At 35.9% G+C, this 13,894-nt stretch overlaps 1 long non-coding RNA gene across 1 annotated transcript in view, besides 1 other annotated feature; it reads right to left on the bottom strand.

The window, feature by feature from the left end:
* The window catches only part of LOC105370991 (uncharacterized), a 152,871-nt gene that overhangs the window by 119,372 nt on the left and 19,605 nt on the right, over positions 1-13,894 (bottom strand). The gene's annotated exons all lie outside the window — the stretch shown is intronic.
* Positions 4,667-5,866: an enhancer, noted in NCBI's record as "BRD4-independent group 4 enhancer chr15:95589779-95590978 (GRCh37/hg19 assembly coordinates)". NCBI's record gives its function as "activates an origin of replication core promoter dependent on BRD2, P300/CBP, MED14 and CDK7 cofactors, and independent of BRD4, by STARR-seq in HCT116 cells {active_cell/tissue: HCT116}" and the evidence as "EXISTENCE:reporter gene assay evidence [ECO:0000049][PMID:35650434]".

The following is a 13,894-nucleotide window of genomic DNA, read 5'->3' as shown; positions in this document are numbered from 1 at the left end:
GAAGAAGTTTTCGAAAGCAATTGCAACAACAACAACAAAAATGACAAGTGGGACCTAATTCAAATAAAGAGCTGTTGCACAGCAAAAGAAACTACCAATGGAGAAAACAGCCAACCTACAGAATGGGGGAAAATATTTTCAAACTATGCATCTGACAAAGGTCTAATATTCAGAATCTATAAGGAATTTAAACAAATTAACACACATAAAACAAACAACACTATTAATAATAGGGAAGAGACATGAACAGACACTTCTCAAAGAAGACATACACGTGGCCAACAAGCATGTGAAAAAATGATCAACATCACTAATCATCAGAGAAATACAAATCAAAACCGCAATGAAATACCACCTCACATTAGTCAGAATGGACATTAAAAAATAAAAAACAGATGCCCAGGAGGCTGCAGAGAAAAGGAAATGCCTATACATTGCTGGTAGGAATATAAATTAGTTCAGGCACTATGGAAAGCAGTTTGGAGATTTCACAAAGAACTTAAAACAGAAATACTTGTTTTTCTCACAGGCAAAAACAGGTTGACTCTGGTGGGTTGGCTTTATTAATTATTTTTTTTCTATTAGGTTTTCTTTAATAATGTTACATTTCTAAATTATAGCATATGTTTTAGTTAATTCTGAAATCAGTTACTTCATTTGTTAATTTATCCCTCATATCATGAATGTTGTTTTTTAAATGTTCTATACAAATTTGCATCACTTTTTTTCTTATAGCTTTTGCAGTTAATATATTCTAAATTTGAAAATGTGGTATCAATGGGTAATAGAAGTATCGCTGGAGGATTTATTTAATTTTGTATTAATTTTAGTCCTAGCTACTAAAGTATGTAAGCTTTAAAGTTTAAAATGTTTTTCTTAAATTAGCTATATACACAAACTTTTTCATATACTTTGTGAAACGAGAGGAGACAGTCCATTGTGCTTGTGGTTTTTCTTCTTTAATTTCCAATTCTGAAGCAGTGCAGATACACTGCACTTGATTAGGGTACATTAATCAAGTGAGCAAGGTGGAATATGTACAATATAAGGAGAAGCTGTATAAATAGTATAAAATTATAAAGTTTAACTGTAAAATGTACTGTATTTATATGTAACTCTCATTCTAAAATTTGCCACAAAAGCTGAATTGGAAGCTTCATGTCTGCATGAAATTTCCTATATTTTTAATGTGTATGATGAAATTAATTTTTCTTGAATATTAAAGTCTGCCAATCTCTACAAAAGACAAAAAAACAAAACAAAACGACAAAAAAAAAAAAAAAAAACAGAAACACCATTCAACCCAGTAATCCCATTATACACTAAAGGAATATAAATTGTCATACCATACAGGCTCATGAACACATATGCCCATTGTAGCATTATACACAATAGCAAAGACATGGAATCAACACATAGATGCCCATTAAGGGTGGACTGGATAGAGAAAATGTTGTACATATACACCATGGAATACTATGCAGCCATAAAAAGTATAAAATTATGTCCTTTACAGCAACATGGTGAAGCTGGAGGCCATTATCCTCAGTGAATTAATACAGGAACAGAAAAACAAATACTGCATGTTCTAACTTATAAATGCAAGCTAAACGTTGAGTACACATGGCCAAAAGAAGGGAAAAATAAACAGTGTGTCCTACTAGAGGGTGGGGAGTGAGAGTAGGGTAACGATAAAAAAACTACCTATCAGGTACTATGCTTATTAGCTAGATGATAAAATAATATGCACACCAAACCCCCATGGTGAACAATTTACCCATGTAACAAACCTGTACATGTATACTCGAACCTAAAATAAAAGTTGGGAAGAAAAAAAATCAATTATTTGCTCCATTAATTTTTTTGATTTTTTTTGGTGGGTCTCTATTTTGTTTATTTCTCCTCTGACTTTTGTTATTTCCTTCCTTCTATCAATTTTGGATTTGGTTTGTTCTTGTTTTTGTAGTTACTTGAGGTGTATTAATAGGTTCTTTATTCAAAATTTTACTTCTTCTTTAATGTAGGTGTTCATTGCCGTAAGATTCCCTCCTAGAACTGCTTTTGCTGTGTTTTGGTATAATGTGTTTTTATTTTTGTCTCAAATTTATTTTTTTAATTTACCTTTTAATTTCTTCATTGACCTATTGGTTGTTGAGGAGCATGTTGTTTAATTTATATGTATTTGTAAAACTTCTGAAGCTTTTCTTAAATTCTAATTTTATACTACTGTGTATAAGAAAAATATATACTTGTTATAATCTCCTCCTTAATAAATTTGGTATGACTTGTTAGGGGCATAGCATATGATCTATCCTGGAGAATCTTTTATGTGTAGCTAAGAAGAATGTGTATTCCCTAGCTGTTGCATAAAACGTTCTGTAAATGTCTGTTAGGACTATTTGGTCTATGAAGTTTCAGTTAAGTTGTTCAGTTTCTCTGTTGTTTTTTGTCTGGATGATATATTCATTGTTGAAAGTGGGGTGTTGAAGTCACCTACTATTATTGTATTGCTGTCTATATCTTCCTTTAGATCTAATAATATTTACCTTATCTATTTGGGTGCTCCAGTGTTGGGCACATATATATTTAGAATTGTTGTGTCCTCTCACTAAACTGATCCCTTTATTGTTATGTATTGACCTTACTGTCTTTTTTTTTTAATTTCTGACTTAAAGTCTTCTTTATCTGATAAAATTATAGCTACTCCTACTTGCTTTTGATTTTCACTTGCATGAATTATCTTTCTTTACTCTTTTACTCTCATTCGATCTTTGTCTTTAATGGTAAAATGTGTTTCTATTAGGCAGTACATATTTGGATTTTGCTTTTATATTCACTCAGCCACTCTGTATCTTTTAATGGGAAAATTTAAATCATTACATTGACGATTATTATTGATATACAAGGACTTACTCTTGCCATTTTGTTAGTTGTTTTTCTATTGCTTTGTAGATCTTTTGATTATGTCTTTTTCTCTTGTTGTTTACCTCTTTCGTTTGGTGGTTTTCTGTGCTTCAAAACTTTATTTCCTTTTTCATTTTTATTTTCTGTATCTGCTGTAATTTCTTTATTTGTGATTTGCATAGGTCTAACATGAAGAGTCTTGTAGTTATAATTGACTGATTTAAACTAATAGCAACTTAACATTGTTTGCATAAAAATACTTTAGATTTTATCCCCACACACACAATTGACATTTTATTGCCTCAATTTACTTCTTTATGTATTGTATGTTTCTTAGCTACTAATTATAGCTATTGTTGTTTTGATTATTTTGTCTTTAAGCCTCCATACTATAGGATTGAAAGATTTACATAATACTTTACAACACTGGAATATTCTGAGTTTGATTAATGAACTTAACTCTGCTGCTGAGTTTTAAACTTTGTGTGTTTTCATGACAGAAATTACTGTCCTTTTATTTTGAGTTGTAGTACTTACTCCTTTAAGCATTTCTTGTAAAGCCAGCATAGTGGTGATAAATTCCATCATTGTTTGCTTGACTGCGAAGGTGTTTATTTATCCTCCATTTTTAAAGAAGAGATTTACTGAATATAGTATTCTTGGCAGAATTTTTTTTCTTCTTTTCAGCATTTTGAATATATCAACCCATTCTTTCTTGGCTTGCATAATTTTTGCTAAAAAATTGCTGATGATAAATTGGAGATTCTCTTATATGTAATTTAATGCTTTTCTCTTTCAGCTTCTAGAATTCTTTTTGCTTTTTGCTTTTGACATTTTTATTACAGTGTGCCTTGGAGAGAATCTTTTTGGACTGAATCTGATTGGGAACCTATGAGCTTCTTGGATCTGGATGTCCATATCTCTCTCAATACTTCGAAAGTTTTTAGCTAATACTTTGTTACATAAGTTTTCAGTGTCTTTATTCATCTCTTCCCTCTCTTGCAACCTTATGTTGCAAAGATTTGTTTGCCTGTGTCTCTTGGGTTCCATAGACTTTCTTTATTCTTCTTTAAGGTCTTTTTTTCTCCTCTGACTGAGTTATAACAAAAACCCTATCTTCAAGTTCAAAAAAATTATTTCTTCAGCTTGAACTAATTTGTGGTTGAAACTCTCAATTTATTTTTTATTTTATTCATTGAATTCTTTAGTTCCAAGGTTTCTATTGGGTTCTTTGTTATATAATATCTATCTCTGTTGAATTTCTCATTCAGATGATGAATTGTTTTTCTGATTTTTATGAAATTATTTGTCTGCTTTATCTTATATTTTACTGAGCTTCAAGATCACTATTTTTCATTTCTTTTTCTGCATTTTGTAAATGTCCCTTTCTTTGGGGTCTGTTACTGGAGACTTACTGTGTTCCTTTGGAAGTGTCATGGTTCCTTGTTTTTCATGTTTCTTGTGTCCCTTTCTTGATACCTGTATATCTAGTGGAATAGTTGCATTTTCCAATTTTAAGGCATAGCTTTCATAGGAAGAAACATTTTCCCTATGGGTTGCTGGGTCCTAGCGGATCAGTAGGATGCAGTACATTAATTTTGATTCTGGGTAGATTCAGTTGCATGGACTTCATGCAGTCTCTTCTGCCATAGTCTTTGTCACTAGTGTGTCTGATTGTCTAGTAGTCTAAGCTGCGGAAATTTGTGATAATGATAGCATGGTTTTGTTGTAGGATAGGGCACTTGGCTGGTTATTGTACTGAGCATGATGGGCCAGACCACTCTTCCACAGTCTATCAAAGGGTGAAGGCCACCACAGGACCAGCTCTTGGGTTGGCCATGGGTGCATGCAGGCTCATCATCAGGCTGGCTGTGCTGCATGGGTATGCACAGGTGAGGTTGGCCAACCAACTTTTCAGCAACTTCCCTGCTGTGAAGGTCTGGCTGTTTCCTGGAGGAAGTGGAGTGCCACGTGGGTTTGAACATTGTGGTTTTGTTTGTTTCTTCTGCCATAGGTTCCAAGCAGCAAGAGTTTTATTGTAGCAGGTACTCACGTTAATATTATGTTATGATAGCAGAGACTCAAGGATGAAGAGAGGCAGTGGCTACTGGCCCCCACTGCAGGATACACTCTGGCCGTAGTGAGAGGTGAAGCTGGCTGGGCTTCTGGGTGGGGTGGAGACTTGGGGAACTTTTCTGTCTAGCTAAAGGATTGTAAACACACCAATCAGCACTCTGTGTCTAGCTAAAGCTTTATAAATGCACCAATCAGCACTCTGTAAAAAGCGCACCAATCAGTGCTCCGTGGCTAGGTAAAGGTTTATAAACACACCAATCAGCACTCTGTAAACATGGACCAATCAGTACTCTGTAAAACGGACCAATCAGAGCTCTGTAAAATGGACCAATCAGCAGGATGTGGGCGGGGCCCAATAAGGGATTAAAAGCTGGCCACTTGAGCCAGCAGCAGCAACATGCTCTGGTAACCTTCCATGGTGTGGAAGCTTTGTTCTTTTGCTCTTCACAGTAAGTCTTGCTGCTGCTCACTCTTTGGGTCCTCACTACCTCTATGACCTGTAACACTCACTGCAAAGTTCTGCTGCTTCACTCCTGAAGTCAGTGAGACCACGAACCCACCAGAAGGAAGAAACTCTGAACACATCTGAGCATCTGAAGGAACAAACTCCGGACACACCATCTTTAAGAACTGTAACACTCACCGTGTGGCTATTTTCATTCTTGAAGTCAGCGAGACCAAGAACCTACAGGAAGGAATAAATTCCGGACACAGTAAGTTCAGTTTCAAGAACGCATCATGCCATTAGAGCTTAGATCACAGGAGTGATGAATGTCCACCATAGGCTTCTACTCAGGTAATGCAGTAGTGGGAACTTCAGGCTACTCTCCAAACTTGATTCCAGGCCTGTCAGAATTAGAGGACTCTCCTGTAGCAAGGATTGCTGGCATTTGAGGTAATAATGAGGACTGCAGGAGATCTCTAGCTTACTTTCCTCCATAGGAAAAAGTTTACCCTGATTTTGAGCCAATCCAAGCAGAGGAGATAGTGTAGCAGAGACAAAACGACTTTCTTGCTTCTCCCTTGTGCTATCATGGATGTCTAGGTTCCACAGGGATTTTGCTGCTTTCCTTGTGCTCTGTAGCATACTGCCTCAGTAACTTCAGTCCAATCAAAATACTATTGTTTATTTGTTGTTTTGGTTTTCTTTTGTCGGGGAGGATGAGTGCCAGAAAGTCAGCCATCTGGCTCAGCAATCCATCACCATGACTTTTGGATGGGCTATTAAGCAGTGTCTTTCTAATGTTAACATGTACATATTCATTTGCCCATAATTTTGAATGGCAGGGATTAGAAACATTAGTGAAAATCCACAAAATATAAATGTATGCATATATTGCAGAATTGTTGCCTACCAAAAAAATGCTATCAAAATGTTCATCAATAATGAAATATTTAATAAATTGTGGTACAGTATAATAACCATTGAAAAAAATGAAGTTGATCTATACGTACTAATAGAAGATGTAAGCTGCAGAATGGTTTTACTTTTAAACATTGCATGTTTATTTGTGTTTCCTGGAAGTGGTAGTGGAATATGTCTATGTGTATTTTTATCAAAGTGCTTTGCTCTAAGGAAGGTTTAGAGAAGCAATATATGTCCAAACTGGTGTGTCCAGAAACTTTGTGGACCATAAGTTATAGCTGACTGAGCTATTTGTCAAAAAGTCTTCAGGGAATGGTGAAAAAAGCCATAGATACCCGCATCCTGCAAATAGGATTTCAAAATTCAGCTTTCACACTCTAATATGAGATTTGAACAATGTTATTTTATAGACCTCAAAGTTGTCTAATTCTGATCTTGCCGACCTGTCATAGGAATGAAATAAAATTATATTTATAAATCATAGATCATACAATGTATTCTCAACAAATGCCATCATCATTTTCCATGTACGGAAATGCATATTTATCTCAGTACTCAGTACAATTTTAAGCAGCATAAAAAAATGATATTTTTGGCTTTGGGCTGGAATAATAACTAGTGGTAGGTAATGTCAATATACATTATGCTAATTAGAAGCTCTAATTGCCAATTTTCTTGATTAATAATTTAAGGAAAAGAGTGAACTACTGCTTAATGGAAATTCTTAATGGAACCAGTCTCTCAAGTTTGTGGAACAAATCTCTCAAATGTTGAGGGGAAACAAGGAAATAGGTTTGTGGTGATAGTCAGCCTAAGCTTTGCTCAACAGGACGCCCTATGTGGCCTTTGCTTAGTCTCCTGCAGCCTTTGCATTTGCAATTTGCACAGGAAGAAAGAAGGCACTTCCAAACTCCAGGAGACAAACACGTCTTTTGAGTTTTGAATCTGAAAACACACTGATAAATGTGATTTTCCTCCCCCTTTGAGGAAGGTAGCATTGAAGTGTTAGAAATCCAGGCTAAAGGATTATTTCAATATCCTCTTGAGGTAAAAACCTTTAATCATAAGAAAAGTCTATTTTGTATTACTCAGCAGTTTATTTTTTCACATGAAAAATTCTTCCCACTTACCTCATCATCTTCCCCTGCCCCACCTAACGTGCTTATTCTCCATATTCTTATTTACTCAGACATGCACACATATCACGAAATGCGGTTTGATTTTAAATAAAAGGACAATTCTGCAGAAATGCAGAGAGTATCTTTTGGTAAAATGACTTCGAGGTCAGTTTTCGGAGTCCCTCGGTTTTTATATGCAATCTAGCCACATTTCCTCTCTCTGCTTTGCTTGCTTAACTTACTAGAAACTTGTGCACAATTTTGCTGTTGTTGGCAGTTTTTAAGGTATGGATTCGTGGAGGCTATTTACAAGATGCCAAGGGATGTCAAGTCAGGAACACGTGTTTTGTATTCCATGGTCCTTCCTTGACAGCAGAAATACTCTGCAGATTATCAGATCTATTTGCTGATATTTAACATCTTTTTTTTAAATCCACTACAGGTTTTGGATGAGATGAATTTTAATGCTTCTTCATGCTGAAACTGACAAAAAAAAATCCTTTACACATTTAAAGAGAGGAAATGGGAGCTTTACATTTCAATGCAAAGAGAGCTCATTTCATTTACTTAAACACTTCACAATTACTTTCTTGCCAAAAAAAATCAGCTTTTTATTTTATTTTTTTAAAGAAATAGCACTCTGTGAACATTCTAAACACTGAGCAGAACTAATGACAACTTGGTTATAGCCATTCTGAATTTGTCAGTATTTGCTTTGCCCAAGTTATCATGATATTGCTGAGGGGTGATTCAAGATTCTCTTGTCCCATAAAATGTTAATTTTTTTCTAACTAAAACAGTTATGAAATTACCTACCATTTTTAGTGAAGATGCAGAGTCATCAAATGTGAGTGAAGATTAGAAAAGACAGAGTCTGTGTTTCTCATAGTTTTTCTTACACTGTTCAGTTTTTATTTTCTTTATCTGGCCTCTTCACTGTAAGATGCTATGCCATGCCTTTCAGATTCTTGCTTCCCAGTCTGTTTCAGTTCCTCCAAATCGCTCTAAAACCACCACCATCCATCATTTCTATTAATTAACCAGGACTATAGCACAGGCCTTCCCAACTTGGAAGTCAATGAAAGTGTGTAAGCATTACAGTGATAAGACTGCACTGGGCTCTAAGCTCCCAAATGCTAGTCACAGCTAGCTCAACCGCATGGTTCTGGGTGACTTGACATGTGCTGTCTGCCTCTCACGCGCATCCGTGTGAAAAGACCACCAAACAGGCTTTGTGTGAGCAATAAAGCTTTTTAATCACCTGGGTGCAGGCAGGCTGAGTCCGAAAAGAGAGTCAGTGAAGGGAGATAGGGGTGGGGCCATCTTATAAGATTTGGGTAGATAGTGGAAAACTACAGTCAAAGGGGGTTGTTCTCTGGCTGGCAGGGGTAGGGGTCACAAGGTGCTCAGTTGGGGAGCTTTTGAGCCAGGATGAGCCAAGAGAAGGAATTTCACAAAGTATTGTCATCAGTTAAGGCAGGGAGCAGCCGTTTTCACTTCTTTTGTGGTGGAATGTCATCAGCTAAGGCATGAACCAGCCATTTTCACTTCTTTTGTGATTCTTCACTTGCTGCGGGCCATCTAGGTGTATATGTGCAGGTCACAGGGGATACGATTGCTTAGCTTGGGCTCAGAGGCCTGACACTGCCTGCTCAGTATCCTCTCTGGAGTCTTTGACTTAGTCGCAGTCTACAGCCACAGATCTTGTTTGTCATTACTTCTGAGGATCTGTATCCTTGACACAACCAGTCCCATCCAGTTGGTGTTCGATAAATATTTGAATGGGTGAATGAATGAATGAATGAATGAGGTGTTGCCAATGCCCCATCAGACTACAGGGAAAGGATGAGAAAAAAACTCCACTAATAACAGTAAACACCATTCACATTTTATTCCTGATATTTTTCTCTTTAACATTATCTATTTATTGATTTTAATTGACAAATAGTAGTATGTATTTATTGGGTACAGTATGATGCTTTGATTCATGTATACGCGAATCACCATACATGCTTATTATTTCTTTATGGTGAAAACAATTAAAATCTTACTATTTTAGTAATGGTCATGTATATATTAGAAGACATATGTTTAAAAATAATATAAATAAAAAGAGACAAAAATAGAGAGCAAAAAAATATTTCTACCCTATAGATTAATTTTCTTGCCATAAATAAATATCAAATAAGCGTCTAATTTTTTTCTCAGAAGCGAGGGTAAAAAATGCATGACACAGTAATTTACATAGCTTTCACCACGTGAATGAAAAAAAGCACAGTGGAATCCTTAGGGAAACAAAGATTTTACTTTTTTTGGCAACAAATTCTTACAGAAATTTCTCCCTTCAGACCTGCTGTAAAGAAAGAGGACCATTTTTGCTCCTCAATTGGAAATCACATCATCAATCTGACCCTTTTAATTAAATGTTATACTCTCAGTGGAAGAAATTTTAAAAATACTGAATAAGAATTTCACACTTAAATAAAGAGATCTTTTTGTTATATAATAAGTTATTATTATTACTAAGTTTAACACCAGTTTGAAATTTAGACAAAAAGGTAAGACTAAGAAAATAGAGTTTGTTGTTGTTGTTGTTGTTGTTTTTGAGATGGAGTCTTGCTCTATCGCCCAGGCTGGAGTGCAGTGGCACAATCTCGGCTCAGTGAAAGCTCCACCTCCTGGGTTCACGCCATTCTCCTGCCTCAACCTCCCCAGCAGCTGGGACTACAGGTACCCACCACCATGCCCGGCTAATTTTTTGTATTTTTAGTAGAGATTGGGTTTCACCGTGTTAGCCAGGATGGTCTTGATCTCCTGACCTCGTGATCTGCCTGCCTTGGCCTCCCAAAATGCTGGGATTACAGGCGTGAACCACCGCGCCCAGCGAAAATAGAGCTTTTTGAAATAATTTTTTCAAGGGAAAACAATGGAGCTGGCCCAGAGTCTAGTTTCATGGGTTGCACAAAATTAGTGCTCAATAATCCAGCCAATTGAACAAGTTTAGAGGGAAAATGGCATAATGGAAGGGCTCACTCAAAACCATTCATGAGTCACTTTATATTTAAATGACTCCGGATAAATCTTTCTTAAACAGCTATGAAAAGTTTTTGAGAAATAGCAGCCAGAAGGGTGAAGGTTTCTGCAGGAGAGCATGGGAAAAAATGACTATGTAGACGTTTTTCCATAAGATTGCCTGAAGCATTTTGAATCTCTACCTTAAATTCTTACATCTACATAAATAATGCAAAATCTTCATATTAACCAATCATTTTAGAACACTCAAGATTTTGCAGTTTTCATTCTGAGGGTGAAATATTAAGTTGTGTCTATCTCAGCATTGCTCTTTCCAGATGCTCTGATCATCCAGTTTTTCTCTTTGATGGCCAATTCATATGATCCTCAATAGGAACTCATGACCAGAATGATGAAAACTATGATAAGCCAGTGGAAATCATGAGTCATAAAGGCTAAGGCAGATGACCAGATAATTTGAATCAATCCCACTTGTTATTGGTGCTAATTCATTGGATTCTGTGTGCTAATATCTTATTTAGTGTTTTTGCTTCAATATGCGTGGAAAATATTGAACTTGGTTTTCTTTTTATATTGGCTTTAGGAATTTAGATACCAGTATTATACTGCTTCAAAAAATAAATTATTATAAAGTTTTCCTTCCTTTTAAATGTTCTTTTGTTATTTATAAAGCTATTTTCTGGTCTTTGAACATATAGTAGAATTCCCTGTGATACCCTCTAGACGTGATACTTTTTGTGGAATATTTCCAGTGGAAACTAAAAGCATTCTATTTGTAATGGGGCCAATTTCAGTTGATTGCATTTCTTTAGGAAGGTTTCAAAATTTGTTTGCATAGAAATCTGCAGGATAGTCTCTTAACAATTTTTAAAAACGTTTCTTTCCCAGTGTTATTTCTCTTGTTATTTCCTATTTTGTATGATCCAATTTTTCTTGATAAATTTAGCTGGTGGTTCTTCTATTCTGTTAATTTTCTTAGAAACCAGAACTTATAATTTTTAAATTGTAGTTACTGTTTTTCCATTCTTGACCTTATCGGTTTCTGCTTTATTATTTATTTATTTATTTGAGATGGAGTCTTGCTCTGTCTCCCAGGCTGGAGTGCAGTGGCACGATCTCGGCTCACTGCAAGCTCTGCCTCCCAGGTTTATGCCATTCTCCTGCCTCAGCCTCCCCAGCAGCTGGGACTACAGGCACCCGCCATCATGCCTGGCTAACTTTTTGTATTTTCAGTAGAGACAGGGTTTCACCATGTTAGCCAGGATGGTCTCGATCCTCTGACCTCGTGATCCGCCCGCCTCGGCCTCCCAAAGTGCTGGGATTACAGGCGTAAGCCACCAAGCCTGGCCTGCTTTATTTTTAATACTTTCATTCTTCTGTACCTTTTAGTTTTATCTTATTGTTCTAGTTTCTGAACTGGGCATTTAATTTTATTTATTTTAATTTTTACTAATGTATGTGTTTAGTATTAGGAATTTTTCTCTGATCACTATATTAAATATACTTCATAGATTCTGATATATAGTGTGTTTGTTATTTTTAAACATGTATAATTATTTCCTATGTGCAATTTGTTTGTGTTTCTCCTTCTACTCAAAGTAGTGAAATAATCAAATCCAAACTAATATTCATGGTAAAAATATTAAACGTCAAAGATGACGTCTCCAAGGCCTCGAGACAGAAAGATCTAATAACTTACACAGGTGAAAGAAATAGACAAGCATCAGATTCTTCTAAACCAACATACAAAGTAAGGCAATAATGAAACAACATTTAAAATGAGAAAAACAAAAATGCAATTTAAAAAAGTGAGCTTCTATATCTCATCTATTGATCCTTCAGATATCAAGGCTATAAAAATGAGCTTCAGATTAACTTTTCCAGATACCCAGTGAACCATCTTAGTAATTTTCAATTTTTTCTATTTCTGGAACATTTTTGGGTTTATAGTTTGAAATATTAGCTGAGTTCAATTGTTAAATTTGTTTGTTTTCAGAGACTCTAATACAAGAAACATTATTTATTCTTTGTTTTTCTTCCACTTTCACTATTTTCTCACTGACCCTTTCATTTTCACTTTTTTGGTTATTTTCCTGTCTTTCTTCCATGCCTTATAAAATTATTATTTGAGTCTTTCCTTCCTTGGGCCCCTTGCAATGTATTATTTATTTGTGAGACAGTTTTGCCTTTTTCTTCCATTTCTTTCCCTAATTAAATCAATTCCCTTTTTATTTCTTTTTTGTTGTTGTTCATTTTTGTTTTTATTTTTAAAGTTCTGACTCAAGATGGGTTTTCATGTACTTATGGCTTGTTTGAGTATATTTATTTTTGTTTGAAGTGCTAACATACATTTATGTTCTGTTTCTTCCTCCAAACCTCCTCCACACCTTCTCAGAGGAATGTTCCTCAGTTATCATGTGTGAAATTTTGTTTCCTGATTTTCTGCAATAGATCCATGTGAATTTCAGTCATCTGTCTGTTTTTATGGTATATAGACATTTTGTATAATTCCTAGTTTAGTAGCAACCTCATCTAACACCTCTAAGTCAGATTGTCTTTTATTTAAATTGAATGCTCATTGTTTTGCCATTTGGCTACTGTCCCTTTACCATTGTTCTAATGATACGCTTGTTGCTCTAGTGCCTTTTACGACTTTTCAGATGGTAGAAAGACTGGAACTAGAAATAAAATTTTGTCATCATGCTATGTTGTCATCAGTGTAATTATCTCTCACAACTAAAGCTTTTTAAGGAAAGTCCAGATATTTTGGCTGGTCTTTTCTGTTTGTTTCTGTGGTTTGGAGAGGAGATTGCAAACATTTCAATTTTTATTTTTATTTTTATATATTTTTTGAGACGGAGTTTTGCCCTCTCGCCTAGGCTGGAGTGCAGTGGCACGATCTTGGCTCACTGCAGCCTCTGCATCCTGGGTTCCAGCGATTATCCTGCCTCAGCTTCCCAAGTAGACTAGCTGGGATTACAGGCACACGCCACCATGCCCAGCTAATTTTTGTATTTTTAGTAGAGACAGGCTTTCACCATGTTGGCTAGGCTGGTCTTGAACTCCTGACCTCAGGTGATCCGCCCACCTCGGCCTCCGAAAATGCTGGGATTACAGGCGTGAGCCACTGCACCTGGCTGCATTTCAATTTTATGGTTCTCTTTTGTCTGGTAAGACCTTACTTTTTATGTATTTATTTATTTATTTATTTATTCATTTATTTTTGAGACATAGTCTCGCTCTTGTCCCCCAGGCTGGAGTGTAATGGTGCGATCTTGGCTCACTGCAACCTCCACTTCCTGGGTTCAAGTAATTCTCTTGCTTCAGCCTCCTGAGTAGCTGGGATTACAGGTGCCTGCCACCACACCCAGCTAATTTTTGTATTTTTAGTAGAGAC

This window comes from Homo sapiens, chromosome 15 (assembly GCF_000001405.40).
Source record: "Homo sapiens chromosome 15, GRCh38.p14 Primary Assembly".
Lineage (NCBI taxonomy): Eukaryota > Metazoa > Chordata > Mammalia > Primates > Hominidae > Homo > Homo sapiens.
The sequence above is the reverse complement of the archived record's forward strand: the minus strand, read 5'-3'. Positions and strand labels throughout refer to the sequence as shown.